The sequence below is a fragment of the Homo sapiens genome, chromosome 9, assembly GCF_000001405.40.
Source record: "Homo sapiens chromosome 9, GRCh38.p14 Primary Assembly".
Lineage (NCBI taxonomy): Eukaryota > Metazoa > Chordata > Mammalia > Primates > Hominidae > Homo > Homo sapiens.
In genome coordinates, this window is record NC_000009.12 from 129,329,507 (window position 1) to 129,347,477 (window position 17,971).

The 17,971-nt window shown below is 52.9% G+C and overlaps 1 long non-coding RNA gene across 2 annotated transcripts, besides 4 other annotated features; it reads left to right on the plus strand.

Annotated features, from left to right (window-relative positions):
• Nucleotides 4,500-5,699: an enhancer, noted in NCBI's record as "MED14-independent group 3 enhancer chr9:132096285-132097484 (GRCh37/hg19 assembly coordinates)". NCBI's record gives its function as "activates an origin of replication core promoter dependent on BRD2, BRD4, P300/CBP and CDK7 cofactors, and independent of MED14, by STARR-seq in HCT116 cells {active_cell/tissue: HCT116}" and the evidence as "EXISTENCE:reporter gene assay evidence [ECO:0000049][PMID:35650434]".
• Nucleotides 4,683-5,485: an enhancer, noted in NCBI's record as "NANOG-H3K27ac-H3K4me1 hESC enhancer chr9:132096468-132097270 (GRCh37/hg19 assembly coordinates)". NCBI's record gives its function as "activates a minimal SCP1, AML or CMV promoter by ChIP-STARR-seq in naive H9 embryonic stem cells {active_cell/tissue: H9 hESC(naive)}" and the evidence as "EXISTENCE:reporter gene assay evidence [ECO:0000049][PMID:30033119]".
• Nucleotides 6,290-7,093: an enhancer, noted in NCBI's record as "H3K27ac-H3K4me1 hESC enhancer chr9:132098075-132098878 (GRCh37/hg19 assembly coordinates)". NCBI's record gives its function as "activates a minimal SCP1, AML or CMV promoter by ChIP-STARR-seq in primed H9 embryonic stem cells {active_cell/tissue: H9 hESC(primed)}" and the evidence as "EXISTENCE:reporter gene assay evidence [ECO:0000049][PMID:30033119]".
• Nucleotides 7,094-7,897: an enhancer, noted in NCBI's record as "H3K27ac-H3K4me1 hESC enhancer chr9:132098879-132099682 (GRCh37/hg19 assembly coordinates)". NCBI's record gives its function as "activates a minimal SCP1, AML or CMV promoter by ChIP-STARR-seq in naive and primed H9 embryonic stem cells {active_cell/tissue: H9 hESC(naive and primed)}" and the evidence as "EXISTENCE:reporter gene assay evidence [ECO:0000049][PMID:30033119]".
• Nucleotides 7,417-17,971, plus strand: LINC01503 (long intergenic non-protein coding RNA 1503). Of its 2 annotated transcripts, none has more exons than NR_120685.1 (4): nt 7,417-7,482; nt 9,286-9,411; nt 12,230-12,537; nt 17,720-17,971. It is a non-coding gene; the product is annotated as a long intergenic non-protein coding RNA 1503 (long non-coding RNA). The 2 variants fall into 2 exon arrangements; NR_120686.1 differs by having other exon boundaries at nt 12,326-12,537.

A 17,971-nucleotide genomic window follows, 5' to 3' on the forward strand; every position in this document is an offset into this window, starting at 1 on the left:
TGCAGTGAGCCGAGATCGCGCCACTGCACTCCAGCCCAGGGAACAGTGCAAGACTGCGTCTCAAAATAATAATAATAATAATAATACTAATAATAAGATGGGAGGGGCCAGAGGTGGCCCGGGGCAAACCAGCCCCTCAGCCAGAAAAGGAGCCAGGAGCTAGGGGCCCATCATGGCGGAGCAGCCATCTCATCCTTATATCTTATGCTGTAGGTCAGACACTGGATATTATTATTATTATTATTATTTTTTGAGACAGAGTCTCTCTCTGTTGCCCAGGCTGGAGTGCAATGGCGCCATCTCGGCTCACTGCAACCTCTGCCTCCCAGGTTCAAGCGATTCTCCTGCTTCGGCCTCTTGAGTAGCTGGGATTACAGTCGCCTGCCACCACGCCCAGCTAATTTTTGTATTTTTAGTAGAGACAGGGTTTTGCAGCGTTGGCTGGGCTGGTCTCGATCTCCTGACCCCAAATGTTTCTCCCGCCTCAGGTTCTCAAAGTGCTGGGATTACAGACATGAGCCACCATGCCCGGTCAGACTCTGGATATTAGGCTGTGAGTATTTTTAGTTATTTTAATTTTTATTTATTTATTTAGAGACAAGATCTTGTTCCATTGTTCAAACTGGAGTGTAGTGGCATGATCTTATCTCACCGCAGCCTTTAATTTTAAAGATAGGGTCTCACTTTGTCACCCAGGAACCTCGAACTCCTGGGCTCAAGCAATCTTCCCACCTCAGCCTCCCAAGTAGCTTGGATGACAGGTATGTGCCACCATGCCTGGCTTTTGTTGTTTTTGTTAGAGAAGTGGTTTTACCATGTTGCCCAGCCAGGCTGGCCTCAAGTGATTCTCTTGCCTCAGTCTCCCAAAGTGCCTGGGATTACAGGCATGAGCCACTGGGCCTGGCCTATTTTTAGTTTTGTATTGGGCACAATTGTTTAAAGTATTCAAGGAATCAGTTGCCATGACAGTTTGGCTCTGTGTCCCAAAGCGTGCTCTGAGGCTCTGACACCAGAGTTCCACGGTCAAAGGCCCCTGAGAAGTGCTATGTTAAGGGAACAGCTTCCTCGCCTAGAGGGGTCTACTTTAATATGCCAAGGAGCATGGGAATCTTGAACAGGAGACTGGAATCCACAGTCTGCCTCCATTCAACTGATCTTGGTTTTCCAGAGCAAAGCCTGGGATCAGCATTCCAAGGAACACACTTTGGGAACATAGTCGGTGGAAGGCTCTCATAACTAAAAGGTCTCTCTGTTTCTGTATTAGTTCCTTACCTACTGTGGAGTACAAATTATCCCAAACTTAGTGGCTTAAAATAGGCATTTTAGTATCTCAGCTTCTGTGGGTCAGGAATTCAGATGTGGCTTAGCTGGCTGGTCTGTCTTAAGGTTGCCATCAAGATGTCAGCTGGGGCTGTGGTCATCTGAAGCCTTGACTGAGGATAGAGGATCTGTTTCCTAAATGGCTCACTGACATGGCTGACAAAGAGGCTTCAGCTCCATGCCATGCAGACTTCAGCAGGCTGCTTGAGTTTCCCCACAATATGGCGGCTGGCTTCTCAGAGTGAGTGATGCAAGAGAGTGAGACTGAAGCTGCAGTACCTTTTATGACCTAGCCTTGAACAGTACATGCAGTCATTTCCTCAGTATCCTATTGGTTATGCAGGCCAGCCTGATTGATTGTGGAAATGTGTGAATGCCAGGAGGTGCGAATTGTTTGGAGACCATGTTGGAGGCCAACTGCCTTAGTAACCATCACTTTGGTACCAGGACATGTAACTTGCCTCATTTGCACAGTTGCTTTTTCTTACCATTTTGTAGACATGAGTAACATTGGGAAGTGAACCTGTTAACCTGTGATATGAAGAGAAGGGGAAGAGACCAAAAATTTATCAGCCACACCAAGCCCTGGAAAACAGCGGTACTAATAACCCAGCCTCCCTTCCTGGGTGCTCACTCTGTACCAGGTACCTCATGGGCCTCAGGGTGCTATGCAACCCCTGTCCCCATGAGCAGGTTCCACTGATATTTTCAAGTCAGGCCACTCATGCCTATGAAATGCATGAAATGAGATTTTTTTGTGATGTTGGCTATGGCAACACACGTGGCTCTGCCTGATGGAAGCTGAGACAAAATTGGTAACCTGAGCGAACCCGTGTGGAGAAGATTTGAGCAGAGAGTAAGCTTAGGATGGATAAATGCCCACGATAAACAAATAATAAATAGATGAGATGAAATATTTATTTCATGTACAGGATGAGGATTAAATACGTTAACAAGATGAGGAGTCAGGGTGAGCCTGGGGAATCCCTGGTTTCACTGGAGCCTCCTGGCTGGGAGAAGTGTCACGTCTCCAGGCTGGGGCAGCGGCAGGGCTCCCTGGTTGGGAGGTCTAGTGGTGACACGTGGAACACCTGGTGGTGAGCCCCAGAATGCCTGTGTCCCAGGCCGACCCATACTGGTCATGAGCTGTGTGATCCAGGCAAGTGACTTCACGGACCTCAGTTTCCCATCTGCAAAATGGGATGATAACAGCAAACTTCACCACTTGTGATGAGGATTCGGAGAGTGAATCTTTGGCCCAGCACAAGGCCTGTAAGGTGTTTCACATGGCAGAGTTGGTGGCGGGTCACCAAGGTGGTGGTGTCCCAGGTTGAAGGAACCTTTCTAGAAATTCCATTGCCTGGAAGGATCCAGTGACACACAGTGGACCCTGAGCCACAAAACAGACTGTGGTAACTGCTGGGGCCTCCCGCAGGGTGATCCCCGAGGAGGCTGGGAGGAGCTCAGCCCTTTCTTCTGCTGGGGGCATGTGCAGGCATGGAGACTGCCCGGCCCCTTCCTGTCCTGTTGGGGCATGATTTTCAACAGAGGGAGGATTCTGGGCATGTTTTCCTTTGGAAGTCTCACCAGGCTGAGCAGGACTTAGAGGAACTCCGGCTACGTTTGCTGTCCCAACAAATAGACCAGGTATAGAGAGAACAGGCCCTGTGAGAGGTAGGGAAAGGAAGGGAGCTTTGGTGGGGAGATTTTGGGGTCTTTCCTGTGGGTACCGAGGTTCTGGGCAGCTGGGTGTGCTGGCCTCCTCTCTGGACATGCTCTGTGGGCATCTTGGCTGTAAATTCCAGGCCCCCCTGCCAGGGATTCCCTCTCTGAGTCTTCAACGAGAGTGAAACTCCATTTCAAAAATAAAATAAAATAAAAAAGCGAGGAGGCTGTGGGCCTAGATGATCTCTCAGCCCCTCCCAACTTTAACACTCTGATTAATTGCTGCATTTATTGAACTCCAGCTGTATGCAGGAGTGGTGTCTGGGAGATGGGAGGTGCTGACCCCAACCCAGGAGGAAGAACCAACCTGAGCCTGCAGATTTCTATGTGGCCTGGGATGGCAGAATGGCCATGTAGGCTGCAGGAGAGCCTAGTACCAGGCCCAGCTGCCATCTGAAACGTGTCCTGCTGGTGGCACTTTGGCGTGGTTCAGGTGTTCTGGTCTTAGAGTCCATTTGGTTTGTACATGAAAATATGTTAGCGGCCTCTTTCCAGTAAGGTTCTGTTTTTGTTTTTTGTTGTTGTTTGTTTTTGTTTTTAGACGAGTTTCGCTCTTGTTGCCCAAGCTGGAGTGCAATGGCATGATCTCTGCTCCCCGCAGCCTCTGCCTCCCAGGTTCAAGCGATTTTCCTGCCTCAGCCTCCCAAGTAGCTGGGATTACAGACATGTGCCACCACGCCTGGCTAATTTTGTATTTTTAGTAGAGACAGGGTTTCTCCATGTTGGTCAGGCTGGTCTTGAACTCCTGACCTCAGGTGATCCACCCGCCTCGGCCTCCCAAAGTGCTGGGATTACAGGTGTGAGCCACTGAGCCCAGGCTTTTTTTTTTTTTTTTTTTTTTTTTTTTGCGACGGAGTCTTGCACTGTTGCCCAGGCTGGAGTGCAGTGGCGCAATCTCGGCTCACTGCAACCTCCACCTCCTGGGTTCAAGCAATTCTCCTGCCTCAGCCTCCCAAGTAGCTGGGACTACAGGTGCGTGCCACCACACCAAGCTAATTTTTGTATTTTTAGTAGAGACGGGGTTTCACCATGTTGGCCAGGCTGGTCTCGATAGCCTGACCTCGTGATCCACCTGCCTCGGCCTCCCAAAGTGCTAGGATTACAGGCGTGAGCCACCGCGCTCAGCCCAAGGTTCTGTTTTTTATTCAAGGCGTCTTAGGGCTTAGAGCTAAACTTGACCATGTCATTCCACACATAAGCCCTTCCCTGGCTCCTCACTGACCTCAGATGACGGTTCATGCTGGGAGTGGCCTCAAGGCCTTCTGGGACCTGGCATGGGCCAAGCTCTCCCACCTGGGGCTTTCCTCCCCTTCCTCTCTCTCCTCCAGAAACACAGATTGAAACATGAGAACGTCTCTCTTCCCTCTAGAGCCTCACACTTGCTGCCTCCTCTGCCTGGAACTCTCTCCCTCTGCTCTCACAGGGTTCCCTAAGTGTCGCTTCCTCCAAGAAGCCCTCCCTGATGAGTTGAGCCACTTTAGTTTGTGCTCAGGCTCACCCTGCACGTCTTGGTTGCTCTCATCACTGTAATGATCTAAAACACACGTCTGCTCATGAGACCCGCATCCCACCCCCGATGCTGGGGCCGCTCTTGGATTTTCATGCCTGCTGCCAGCACCCAGGGGGAGCTCCGGAAATGTCTGCTGGGTGAGTCATGAACGCGCAACCTGTTGATCCAGGTTGGTAATCAGTGGCCGGGCCTGCCAGCAAATCACCTGACCCGGTCACCCAGAGGCTGGGAAGGACTGCCGCGGCTGCCGCCCAGATCCCTCCTTCCTCCCCCTGAAGGCTCTGCCTGGAAGGAGCGAAGGGGTTAAGTGTTTCTGGCGGCCTGGTGCTGTGTCTGCTGCAGTTCCCCCTTCCGGGGCTGCAGCAACCCGAGGTTGGCGAGGAATGTTTGCAATGCAGAGCTAGGAGGAGGGCGGGCTGCTAGAGGTGGGGGCCGAGGCAGGCCCGCGGCCAGGCTCCCTAGTTGAGCAATGGCCCTGCTGGTTCCTGTAACTCGGACCCCTCCCGCCTTTTCCCGCCCTGCCGGCTTCCTCCACCCCGGCTGGGCTGCCTGCCGGGCAGTGGGGGCGGCCTGCACTCAGCTGCAGAGGGAGGTGGAGGGACAGAGGCCCAGATAGCCTGAAGGTCAAGAGTGAAAGAGAGGGGTTCCCTGAGAGACAGAGCAGGGGTGCAGTTGGCTCAGCCACCCCAGCCCAGAGAAGCGGGGCCTTTTCCAAAGTCACACAGCAAGACACCAGTGAATTGGGCCACAGCTCTGGGTCTGGCCTCTTTAGTTCCCATAACTCTAGGCTGCAACTCCCACACACAGCAGGGAGGTCACATTGCCACTCAGCTGGGAAGCTTTGAACCACAGGGGACCCTCTCCCAACAGAAGGCAAAGCCCCCCCACCCCAATGCACTGGCTTGGCCTCTTCACCTAATCCCCAGGGTCTCAGAGAGGACAGTGCACCCACTGGTCTAGGTGCACCCCTCCATCCTGCCATTAACTCCCCACCACTTCCCACTGCCCACTGCCCGGCCAGGTCTTGGGGACCTTGGTCACCTCTGTTCCTCGCTTCCGGGAGTATGAAGTAAATGAATGAAGGCCAAACTTGAGCTGGTTCTTGAAAACCCTCTCTCCCCTCTTCCTCTGGGTCTTTTCAAGGAAGGACCAAACTGGCACGGTGGCTCATGCCTGTAATCCCAGCACTTTGGGAGGCTGAGGTGGGTGGATCGCCCGAGGTCAGGAGTTCGAGACCACCTTGGCTAACATAGTGAAACCCTGTTTCTACTAAAAATACAAAAAATTAGCTGGGCGTGTTGATGGGCACCTGTAATCCCAGCTACTCTGGAGGCTGAGGCAGGAGAATCGCTTGAACCCAGGAGTTGGAGGTTGCAGTGAGCTGAAATCACACCATTGCACTCCAGCGTGGGCAACAAGAGCAAAACTCCATCTCAAAAAAAAAAAAAAAAAAAAAAAGGAAGGACCTTCATGAGTACCAAATATTCACTTGGGCTCAGACGCAAAACTCAGCTCTTTCTCCACAAGCACCCCCCTCCTTTGGGGGGAAGCTGTGTTCCCTGACACTGTGGGATGAGCTCCTCCCTCTGCCGGCAGTATTTCCTCTCTGGGGGACCTCTGGGGAGGTGGCCTTGCAGTTGGGCACACCTGGCTTGCATCCCAGAGGCACCACCTTCAAGCTTCCTGGCTTTGCCACACCTCTCTGAGCCTCGGTTTCCTTATCTGTGCCATGGAATTCAGAGAGGCCCCAGTCTCACTAGGCTGAGGCTCAGGGCCAGTTGCCTTTTCCTGGCCCCACAGATGTATGGTCAGTTTGGGGGTATGCCCCCATCCCTGCTCTGGGCTTTGCCTAAGACAGGCTGTGGGCAGCCCTCAGAGGCGCCAGTTTGGCCACACCTGGCTGGAATCAGCGGGTGGGTGGGAGCACACAGCAGGGACCCAGTGCCTTCTAGAACACAGCTAGCAGTTCCCGTGAAAATCAAAACACCCCATTTTACAGGTAAGGAGGCTCTGGGAGGAGTGGCTTGCCACACTATGCAGATATAAAGAGGGATATTCACCAAGAAAAACATACCAATAACACCAAGGGCCCTCCTACACATTGTTCTACCACTATTTATTGAGCACTTACTACATGCCAGGCAATGAGCCAAGTGCTTTACAAGGCTGACCTATTTCAATCCAACAGCATACCGAAGAGGGAGGCATATTGATCCCCCTTTTACGGGAAACAGTGAGGTTGATGCATTTGCCCAAGATCACACAGCTCTTGGGGAGTGGAGCCTGACTTTGAATTTAGGCCGCCCGCCCCCAGAGCCTGTGTTCTTGGCCATCCTTCTTCGCACCTGGCTTAGAGACCCAGGCTCTGCATAGAGGGGCCCAGTGATCTTGGGTTAGTCCCTTAAGCCCCAGCCTAGCAAAAGGGAAAGGAAATATCTTCAGCACCCAGTGAGGGGGAGCTCAGAGAGGGGACCCCTTTTACTACAGGGCACACAGCCGGCTGAGCCAGGACCCACCACACTCAACTCCCCGGCCCCTGGCTCCCAGGAGGTGGCTCCTCCATGGCCGGGAAGGACCCCCACGGCTGCTCCCGCAGGCAGATGGACAGACGATGGCCCCCTCCCACGGCCTGCGGGCTGTGTGGCATCGCCACCTCCTCCCGAGCAGGCTGCCTTTAAGAAACCAGAAGATTGATTTCCTGGCAGGCTCTACGCCGAGGAGCCCGTCCAAATGGTTTGCATGTCTGCATTTTTTACTGCTCCGTTTAATATGTATGCAAATGCCGGCCGGCTGCGCCCGCCGCGCGGCTGCACAGTCACACGCGGCGCCCCATTAAAGCGGCCGTCCCGGGCGCGCGCCTCATTCGAGGCGACGGGCTCCGGGCCCTGATAGATGGGGTGCGGGGACGGAGACAAATGACGGCCTTTGTAATTTCTTTTCTCTCTTTTTCCGGGGGAGGGGGAACTCGCAGAGGAGATTTAAATATATGCAAAATTGTTTGCGGGCTGGGGGTGGGGCGGAAACCTGAAAGGGGCGGCGGGGGGAGGAGCTGGTGTGTTCCTGGTGGGAGTCGGGCTGGAGGCAGGAGGGGAGCCGGGCCCCCACAGTCACCTTCTGGCGGAGACAGCCGAGCGAGCCGCTCTGCTCCTGATAAGCAGGCCCGGTCCTCTGGGAAGCGTGGGCTTCAGCCGCAGAGAAAAGGAAAATGCTGGTTATTTTCGGCCCCGTTACACGCGGGAAGCCGGGGATGGTGGTTTTTCCCCCATCGCACCACCGCTTTCTTTTCTTGGGCTTCCAGGGCTTATAACTTAATTGGTACGGTGTCATTTAAGTTTCGCATTAGCCCATGAAGTGGGTCCCGGGTTCACACCCATTGTGCAGATGGGGAAACTGAGGTTTGCGGGAGTGAAGTCCCTTGGGGAGGGTTGCAGAGAGAGTGGGTGGGGATTGGGTCCCTCCAGAGCCCTGTCTTTGATCCCCACGGCCCTCTGCTGTCTCTCTGGCTCTCAGCGGTGGGGTGTCCGCGTGCCTGCCTGTGCCCCAAATCTGCCCGGGCTCGCCCCATACCACGAGCCAGCCCCCTCCTCCTGCCTGCCCCCACGCGCGCCAGGTGACAGGCCCACAGCCCAGCGAGCTGGGGGACTGAGCCTCACATTTTCCAAATATTGCTTAAGCCTAAAATCCGAAGTGCTGGTTTTAAAGGAATCTTTCCTAATTTGTCAGGATTTTAGGCCACATGGCAGCTGGGGGCAGAAACATTTCTGAGAGGAGGCTCCAGCCTCAGGAGAGACCCACCGTGGAGCAGACCACTCAGACCCACCGGAGACCCAGAGTTACACACTGCTGTGTCCGTGTGTGCGCGCCTGTGTCCGTGTGTGCTTGGGTGTGTCGTGTCATTGTGAGTGTGCTGGTGTGTGTGCACCAGTGGGAGTAGGGGAGTGTATATTAGTGCATGTGTGAGTTTCAGTGTGTATGTGTTAGTGTGTTACGGGAAAGGGGTCCTGATCCAGACCCCAAGAGAGGGTTCTTGGATCTCGCGCAAGAAATAATTCAGGATGAGTCCACAGTGAAAAGCAAAAGCAAGTTTATTAAGAAAGTACAAGGGATTGGGCGCGGTGGCTCGCACCTGTAATCCCAGCACTCTAGGAGGCCGAGGAGGGCAGATCAACTGAGGTCAGGAGTTTGAGACCAGCCTGGCCAACATATAGTGAAACCCTGTCTCTACTAAAAATACAAAAAAAAAAAAAAAAAAAAATTAGCTGGGTGTAGTGGCATATGCTTGTAGTCTCAGCTACTTGGGAAGCTGAGGCAGGAGAATCGCTTGAACCTGGGAGGCGGAGGTTGCAGTGAGCTGAGATCACGCTACTCCAGCCTGGGCAGAGCAAGACTCCATCTCAAAAAAAAAAAAAAAAAAAAAAAAGGGATAGCGGTAAAAAGACAGCTACTCCGTAGACAGAGTAGGATGTTCCTGAAAGTAAGAGGAGGAGCGAGGAACGCATCCACCCTAGGTACAATGCTTGTATATATGGGGAGATTTGCTCTGCTACAAGGGTTTGTGATAAAGGATTAATTTTCTTAATTACTATATTTTGCAAGAATCGATATTATTATCTTTAAAGCAAAATTAGGAATGCCTTTGTTCTTCAGATATGGCGATATCTGGACACTCCTAAGTCCGGGTCTGTTTTAGTAAACATTATTAATTTGTTCCCTTAACCATAAACCTCTAGGGGCTCGGAATACCCACCTTTCTGGTAATGCAGCCCAGCGGGTCCCAGCCTCGTTTTCCAGCCCTCACTCAAAATGGAGTCGCTCTGGTTCGAACGCCTCTGACAAGTGTGTACCTACGTGTCAGGGTGAGTATGGGGCTGTATGTACACACGTGTCACTGTGTACACGTGTCGGTGCGCATGTATGAATGTGTGTTGTCCTTGGCTGGCAGGCAGCTGGAGTGTGAATTTCCCTGAGGGTTTCCACTTCCCTGTGGTTCAGGCTGGGGCCGTCCCCGCTCTCCTGGCCCCAGAGCTGCCCCACTAGGCAGGGAAAGCCTCTGGAATGAGGGAACAGGATATGGCTCCATGAGGCCCCCACAAGCCAGAGGCACCCCTGAGCTTTGCATAGATGGGAAGGACTTGGATTGCTGGGGCCGGGCTGGAGCCTGGGAATCCTGAGCCGGAAGTGAGGGGTGCACACAGCTGTCTAGAGAAGCCCTCTGCGTGTGCGTGTGTGTGTCCCTCCAGATCTGTGCATGTTGAGTCACTCGGGGAAGTGGCTCTCCTCATGTAAATGTCTTCAGGATGAAGGGAGGTCCTTCTGGTGTCTGGACTTGAGCTTCTCTGGGGGCAGAACCTGGGCTCTGGGGGCTGCTATTTGGGAATCACCCTCCTTGCCGCCCCCTGGGCCAGTGCCCTGAGGACACTGGAGGGGTCCTTGAGCCCTAGTGGGGGGTAGGGTGTGTGTGTGTGTGTGAGAGAGAGCCAGAGAGAGTGTCTGTGAGCAGGGGTGTATGTAAATGTGTGTGAGGATGTGTATATGTGCATTGGTGTGAGTTGTGTGTGTGAGGTTGTGTTGGGGTGAGGGTGTGGGCGTGTGAGTTGGTGTGAGGGTGTGTGAGTTGGTGTGTGTGAGTTGTGAGGTTGCGTTGGGAGTGAGGGTGTGTGCATGTGAGTTGGTGTGTGAGTTGTGTATATGTGAGGTTGTGTTGGGTGGGGGCAAGGGTGTGTGCATGGGTCTGTGAGTTGTGTATGAGGGAGGATGTGTGCATGGGAGTTGGTGTGTGTGAGGGTGTGTGAGGGTGTGTGTGAAAGTGTGTGGGTGTGAGTTGGTGTGTGTGTTGTATATGTGTGAGGTTGTGTTGGGGTGAGGGTGTGTGTGTGAGTTGGTGTGTGAGTTGTGTATGTGTAAGGGTGTGAGTGTGAGTTGGTGTGTATTTGAGTTAGTGTGTGTTGGTGTGCATGCGAGTTGGTGTGTGTGAGTTGGTGTGTGTTAGTGTGAGTTGTATATGTGTGAGTTGGTGTGTGTGTTGGTATGAGTTGTGTATGTGAGTTGGTGTGTGTTAGTGTGAGTTGTGTATGTGTGAGTTGGTGTGTTGGTGTGAGTGACTTGTGTATGTGTGAGTTGGTATGCGTGTGAGTTGGTGTGTATGTGAGATGTGTGAGTTGGTGTGTATGCGAGTTGATGTGAGTTGTGTATGTGTGAGTTGGTGTGTATGAGTTGGTGTGTGAGTTGTGTATGTGTGAGTTGGTGTGTATGAGTTGGTGTGTGAGTTGTGTATGTGAGTTGGTATGAGTTGGTGTGAGTTGTGTATGTGTGAGTTGGTGTGTATGTGAGTTGGTGTGTAAGTGACTTGTGTATGTGTGTGTATTGGTGTACATGTGAGTTGAGTTGGTGTGTGAGTTGGCATGTGAGTTGGTGTGAATTATGTATGAGTTGGTGTGTGAATTGTGTATGTGTGAGTTGGTGTGTGAATTGTGTATGTGTGAGTTGGTGTGCATGTGAGTTGGTGTGTGAGTTCGTGTGTGAGTTGGCATGTGAGTTGGCACATATGTGAGTTGGTGTGTGAGTTGTGTATGTGTGAGCGCATATGAGTTGTGTGAGTTGGCATGTGAGTTGGTGTGAGTTATGTATGTGTGAGTTGGTGTGTGAGTTGTGTATGTGTGAGTTGGTGTGCATGTGAGTTGGTGTGTGTGTGAGTCCGTGTGTGAGTTGGCATGTGAGTTGGCACATATGTGAGTTGGTGTGTGAGTTGTGTATGTGTGTGTTGATGTGTATGTGAGTTGCTGTGCGTGTGAGTTGTGTGCGTGTGAGTTGGTGTGTGAGTTGTGTATGTGTGAATTGGTGTGTGTGTGAGTTGTGTGTGTGTGAGGGAGGGTGTGTTTGTGGACAGATGTGTGTGCGCCTGGATGTGCCGGACCGGTTGGGAGGGGCGGATGGACCGAGGCTCCGCGACAGGCATTTCCGAGCTCCCCTGGCAGATCTGGCTTAGGAGGAGCTGCAGGGACCAGCGCTGAGGGCCCTTCTGGCTGCCCTGGTCCGGGCCTTGGTGTCTTCCTGGTCTCATCTCTCTCTAGTCTCTGCAGTCCCCTGGGCTCTCCAGTCCCACAGGGGGCTCTCCCTTGGAAACCCGTGGGGAATGTCACCCGTGGGGAATGTCTCTGCCCACCCAAGCCTCCCCGGGGAACGGCAGACAGGATGGCCCCTCAGGCCGGCACCTCCCAGAACTCACGTCCCCACAGTGGCCCTGGGGTCCCCTCTGGCCTCACGCCCGCTCCTCTTCCTCTCTTTCAAGATTTGCCGGGTGCTGGGCCCCAGAAGCCAGCCCTCCTGACGTGTGGCGGCCGTCCTCACCGCTCCCTCCTTCCCTGCAGCATTCCCCAGCCCCCGGCCCACCCTCCTCCCACCCGCTTCCTGACCCAGGCTCCCGGGCCTTCCCCTCGTGGCCACCTAGCTGTGTGCTTTGTTTGGCTGCTGTCACCCCCAGGAAGGTGATCCCCGTGAGAACTCAAATAGCAGATGCTCATCTGGGACCCCCGCCTCCAGCCCCAGGGGAGGTTTCCTGGTCCTCACTGTGGCCGGGGCATGGCTCCTTCACCCCGGGGCTCACCCTCGGTGTCCGTGAAGTCCAGCCGACGGTGACCCTAAGTCCTCCCTCCACTCGCCTATGTTTGGGGATAGCCCATCCTTCCTGCAGGCCTTTGTCTTGGTGTCACCCTGCCTGAGCTGGCCCCAACCACAGTAGCAACAGTGATGCTGATGTGTGACTGCTGCCAGGAGCCTGCTCACATGACCGTGTGGAGAAAGTTCTTTCCCTGAGGACCATCTGGAGTGGACGCGTGCACTACCCCTCTCTGAATACACCCTCCCCACGAGGCCCTCTGGAGCATCCTGTAGAGCCAGCCCCTACCCAGAGACCCTGAGCCCAGAGAATGCGCTGGGTGGTGAGCCTGGGGACGAATGCAGAGCCCTAGGTCTCCTCTCCAGAAGTAAGTATGGGGTTTGTGTAAATTGCTTGGTCAGGAGGGCGGGACCTGGGGTCTTCACTAGGCTTCCCAAAAACTGGGTTGAGCACATAGTAGGTGCTCACTAAATAACTGTTGAAATAGATAAGCAAGGAGGCTGGGCGAGGTGGCTCACATCTGTAATCCCAGCACTCTGGGAGGCTGAGGCGGGCAGAGCACCTGAGGTCAGGAGTTCAGGACCAGCCTGGCCAACAGGTTTAGTGATGAAACCCCGTCTCTACTAAAAAAAAAAAAACCAAAAATTAGCTGGGCGCAGTGATGCACGCCTGTAACCCCAGCTGCTCAGGAGGCTGAGGCAGGAGAATCGCTTGAACTTGGGAGGCGGAGGTTGCGGTGAGCCAAAATCGTGACACTGCACTCCAGCTTGGGGGCAACAGAGCAAGACTTGTCTCAAAAAAAAAAATATATATATATATATGTATATGTGTATATATACACACACACACACATATATATATATGCAAGGGGATGGAAGGATGGACACAGGCATGGGTTTGGGCCACACAGTCTTGCTGGGCCTCCTGCCCATGGCCCTCCTGGGGTCCGGAACCTGGCAGAGGCTGAGGTTCCGGAGAAGTTGGGCCCCCAGCCTGTTCACTGGGGCACAGGTCACGCTGTAGACGCAGCCCCACTAGCTTGTTTAGGGGTCGAGGACTCCTACAACATCCCCGGGAGGGGGGTGGCACTGGGACCCTTATTTCCTCCTGTGGAAGCAGAACCAGGTGACCCTCGCCCCCCGGCTGGCTGTGGTGCTGTGTGTCACCCGGCTGGGTCAGGCCCTGACACCGAGCAGGGTTCACTGTGGCTCTTGAAGACCTTGTTGTTGGGGCTGAAACGCATCTGCACCTCCACCTGGGTCCTCCGTCCCTCAGGGTGGGTGTTTATTCCCAAGCAAGGGGTCACCCAGAGAGCAGCCCAAAACCTCCCTTGAGTCCTGAGGAAGGGGCAGCCAGAGGCTGGGCTGGGAGGAGGCGTGGCAGGCGTTGGGAGCAGCTGCTCCAAGTGCAGTGACCATATTTTTCTGAGCTGAAAAATGAGGACACAGGATGTAGCTGAGGGCTTTCTCAGGTTGGTTCACTTAATGAAGGGGAAAAAACCTTCCAAAGGTATGAAAGTTAAAGCTTATTTAGTTATGTGGGGAATAGCTTGTTTTTGTGGAAGGAACCTGAGTTTCCAAAATCAGGGGTTTTCTGGAAAGGAATAATTCCATTTGGCTAATATTTGGGGGGCACCTGGACCAACCTTGTCTTTAGTGGGAAGCAAAGCAGGCATGATCCTGGCCTCACAGAGTGACGTAGGGAGACGGACAGTATTCCAATAATTTCATGGTTCAGAGGTCTTTTAGGAGGTAACTGATGAAGAGGGAGCGCAGGATGGGGTGGGGAAAGCACATTCCAGGCAGGGAACAGCATATGCAAAGGCCCTGTGGCTGGAGGGAGAGCTTCGCGTTTGAGGGACAGGAGGGCAGCCCCGAATGTGACGAGCGAGAGGGAGAGGAGGATGGAGATGTGGGCAGGGGTCAGTCTGGGCGGTGGCCAGCAGCCATGAGAGTGTGATGGGCTGTCTCTGGCAGGCAGTGGGGGAGCCATGGATGGTTGGACACAGGCGTGACCTGGTCATCCTGGTGGATGTTGATGGTGATGAGGAGAAGGATGGGGTTGAGAATCGTAGGAGGTACTGAGTTCTTACCGCGTGCCAAGCACCATTTCACAGATCGAAGTGAGGGCTGGGGAGGGGAAGTGACTTATCCAGGTCACACCACTGGCAAATGGCAGAAATGGGACTCAGACCGCATCTGTCTGGCCACACAGTCCGCACGCTCGTCCTGCATGTCCTGTACACACTGTACACAGAGCTGCCCTTTGTCTGGATGCGGAAGCCAAGGGACATGCAGACGACCCTGTCACCTGCCTCCCTGTGGTGCTGACTCCTCTCTGCTCTGAGTTCCAGGCTGGGTGGGGACTGCAGGTCACAGGATTGGCCGGAGCTGGAAAAGCCCAGCTCAGTTCCTGCTGAGGCCCAGCAGGGGAAGGAGAGGTTGCAACATCGGCGGAGGCTGAGGTTCCGGAGAAGTTGGGCCCCCAGCCTGTTCACTGGGGCACAGGTCACACTGCAGACGCAGCCCCACTAGCTTGTTTGGGGCTCGAGGACTCCCACAACATCCCCGGGAGGGGGGTGGCACCGGGACCCTCATTTCCTCCTGTGGAAGCAGAACCAGGTGACTGCACTGCTGTAGACCCACCAGCGGCATTGAAAAAACCCTCACCAGGCTGGGCGAGGTGGCTCATGACTGTAACTCCAGCACTTTGGGAGGCCAAGGCAGGCAGATCAATTGAGGTCAGGAGTTCAAGACCAGCCTGGTCAACAAGGTGAAATCCCATCTCTACCCAAAATACAAAAACTAGTCCGGTGTGGTGGTATGCACCCGTAATCCCACTACTCAGGAGGCTGAGGCAGGAGAATCGCTTGAACCCGGGAGGCGGAGGTTGCAGTGAACCGAGATTGCGCCACTGCACTGCAGCCTGGGCGACAGAGTAAGACTCTGTCTCAAAAAAAAAAAAAAAAAAAAAAGAAAGAAAAGAAAAAAGAAAAAGCCCTTATCCCCTCCTTAATCATTAGGGAAATGCAGATGAAAACCCGGATGAGACGTCACCTCCCACCCATTAGGATGGCTACTATCAGGAACCAGAAAGAACAAGGGCTGGTGGGGAGGAGGTGGAGAAATTGGAACTCTCAAGCATTGCTGGTAGGAATGAAAATGGTGCAGCCGCTGTGGAAAACAGCATGGCAGTTCCTCAAAAAAAGTAAAAATAGAATTACCATATGATCTAGCATTTCCACTTCTGGGTATGTACCCAAACGCGTTGAAAGCAAGGCCTCGAAGACATATTCATGCTCCCATCTTCATAGCAACATCACTCACAATAGCCAGAAGGTGGAAGCAACTCAAGTGTCCTTGAATGCAGGAATAAACAAAATTTGATACATACGTACAATGGAATATTATTTAGCCATAAAAAGGAAATTCTGACACACGCTATAACATGGATGAACCTTGAAGACATTACGCTAAGTAAAATAGCCTGTCACAAAAGGACAAATACAATAGGATTCCACTTATGTGAGGCTCTAAAGAAGTCACATTCATAGAGACAGAGAGTGGAATGGTGATGGCCAGGGAGAAGGAGGAGTTAGTATTTCACGGGTACAGAGTTTAAGTTTTACAGGATGAAAAGAGTTCTGTGGGTGGATGGTGGTGACCGTTGCACAATAGCATGAATGTACTTAACACTACAGAACTACACACTTAAAAATGGTTAAGATGGCACATTTTATGTGTATTTTAAAAAATTTTTATTCTCAGTTCTCTTATGTTATTGACAGCTGGCTTTCTTTTAAGTTTTTTTTCTTTTTTCTTTTTTGAGACAGTGTCTCACTCTGTCACTCAGGCTGAAGTGTTGTGGAACCACCACAGCTCACTGCAGCCTTGAACTCCTGGGCTCAAGCGATCCTCCCACCTCAGCCTCCGGAGTAGCTACCACATCCAGCTAGTTTTTTACTTTTTTGTGGACACACGGTCTCACTATGTTGCTCAGGCTGGTCTAGAACTCCTGGCCTCAAGCCATCCTCCTGTCTGGGCCTCCCAAAGCGTGGGATTACAGGCGTGAACCAACTCCCGGCCTTAAGTTAGTTGCTTTTGTAAGAAATAAAAATACCAGGCGGTAATTGGCATTAGAGCAGTCAAAAATCTCAGATGCTAGTGTTCCTGGGCAAGTAACCTTGCCTCTCTGAAGCTCAGTTTTCTCATGGGGAAATGGGATCGTGATGGCACCTCCCTCCTGGAGCCACTGTGAGGGTTCCATGATGCCTCCGAGGTGCTCTTCCCAGCGGCCAATGTGCAGTGAGCACCCAGCTGCCCCTATAGGACTGGCAGGTCTTCCTTGAGCCTTTGGGGTTAGGGATTTAAGCAGCATAGGCCTTAGTCAGAGGAGAAAAAGTCCCTTACCCCACCATCCACATGGGGAAACGGGCCTAGAAGAGTCAAAGGACTTGCCAAGATCTCTCAGCATCTCCTGAACTGGAATGTGGTTTTCCAAGAGTCCCCTCAGGACCCGGGCCAGGCTTCACCTGTGCCTGGGTGTGCAGCTGTATTGGTCAGCAGGGCTCCCTCTGCTGTGGTAACAAATGAACCCCGCATCTGAGCGCCTTAAAATGGTCAAGGTTTGTTTCGCATCCGGCAAAGTCTGCTGTGTGTCCAGGCAATTCTTTTATTTTTTTTTTTTGGAGACAGAGTCTCTCTCTGTTGCCCAGGCTGGAGTGCAGTGGCACAATCTCAGCTCACTGCAGCCTCCGCCTCCCGGGTTCAAGCGATTCTCCTGCCTCGGCCTCCCGAGTAGCTGGGACTATAGGCGTGTGCCGTCACGCCCAGCTAATTGTTGTATTTTTAGTAGAGACGGGGTTTCACCATGTTGGCCAGGCTGGTCCCGAACCGCTGACTTCAAGTCATCTGCCCACCTCGGCCTCCCAAAGTGCTGGGATTACAGGTGTGAGCCACCGTGCCCAGCCTCCAGGTGATTCTTCGGGGTAACTGCCCTCGCTATGAAGGGAGGCTTAAAAATCCAGGCTGCCTCCTGCTGGTGGCACCCCCATCTCCAGATCACTGAGTCACGGGAAAGAGCATCACATCACTTCCTCCCACGGCTCACTAGCCGGGGGCCTCATGCAACCGCAAAGGTGGCGGGTCCTAAGAAAGAGACGAAAACTGGCTATAGGTGAGCACTAGATGTTTCTACTCACAGTCAGGGTGGGGTGTGAATCGAGCTGCCCCTTTCAAAATACAAATGAAGGCTTCCTGTTCTTTTTCTGTCCTTGAAGAATCCCGGGGACGGGCCCTAGCAGGCAGGCATTTTTTTTTTTGAGACGGATCTCGCTCTCTCGTCCAGGCTGGAGTGCGGTGGCATGATCTTGGCTCACTGCAACCTCCACCTCCCAGGTTCAAGCGATTCCCCTGCCTCAGCCTCCCAAGTAGCTGGTATTATAGACATGCACCACCACCCCCAGCTAATTTTTGTGTGTGTGTGTATGTGTGTGTGTGTGTGTGTGTATATATATATATTTATTATTATTATTATTTTTTTTTTTGTAGAGACCGGATTTTGCCATGTTGGCCAGGCTGGTCTTGAACTCCTGACCTCAAGTGATCCACCTGCCTCGGCCTCCCAAAGTGCAGGGATTACAGGTGTGAGCCACTGCACCCGGCCTCAGGCAGGTATTTTTACCAGCCGAATACTCTTGCACTGTGCACTCTTCGTGTTCATCATCAGTCCCCCGGATGGGTGTTTAAGGCATTTCCAAAGCTCTGTTATTAAAAACACGATGCAATGAGTTTCTTTCAGCA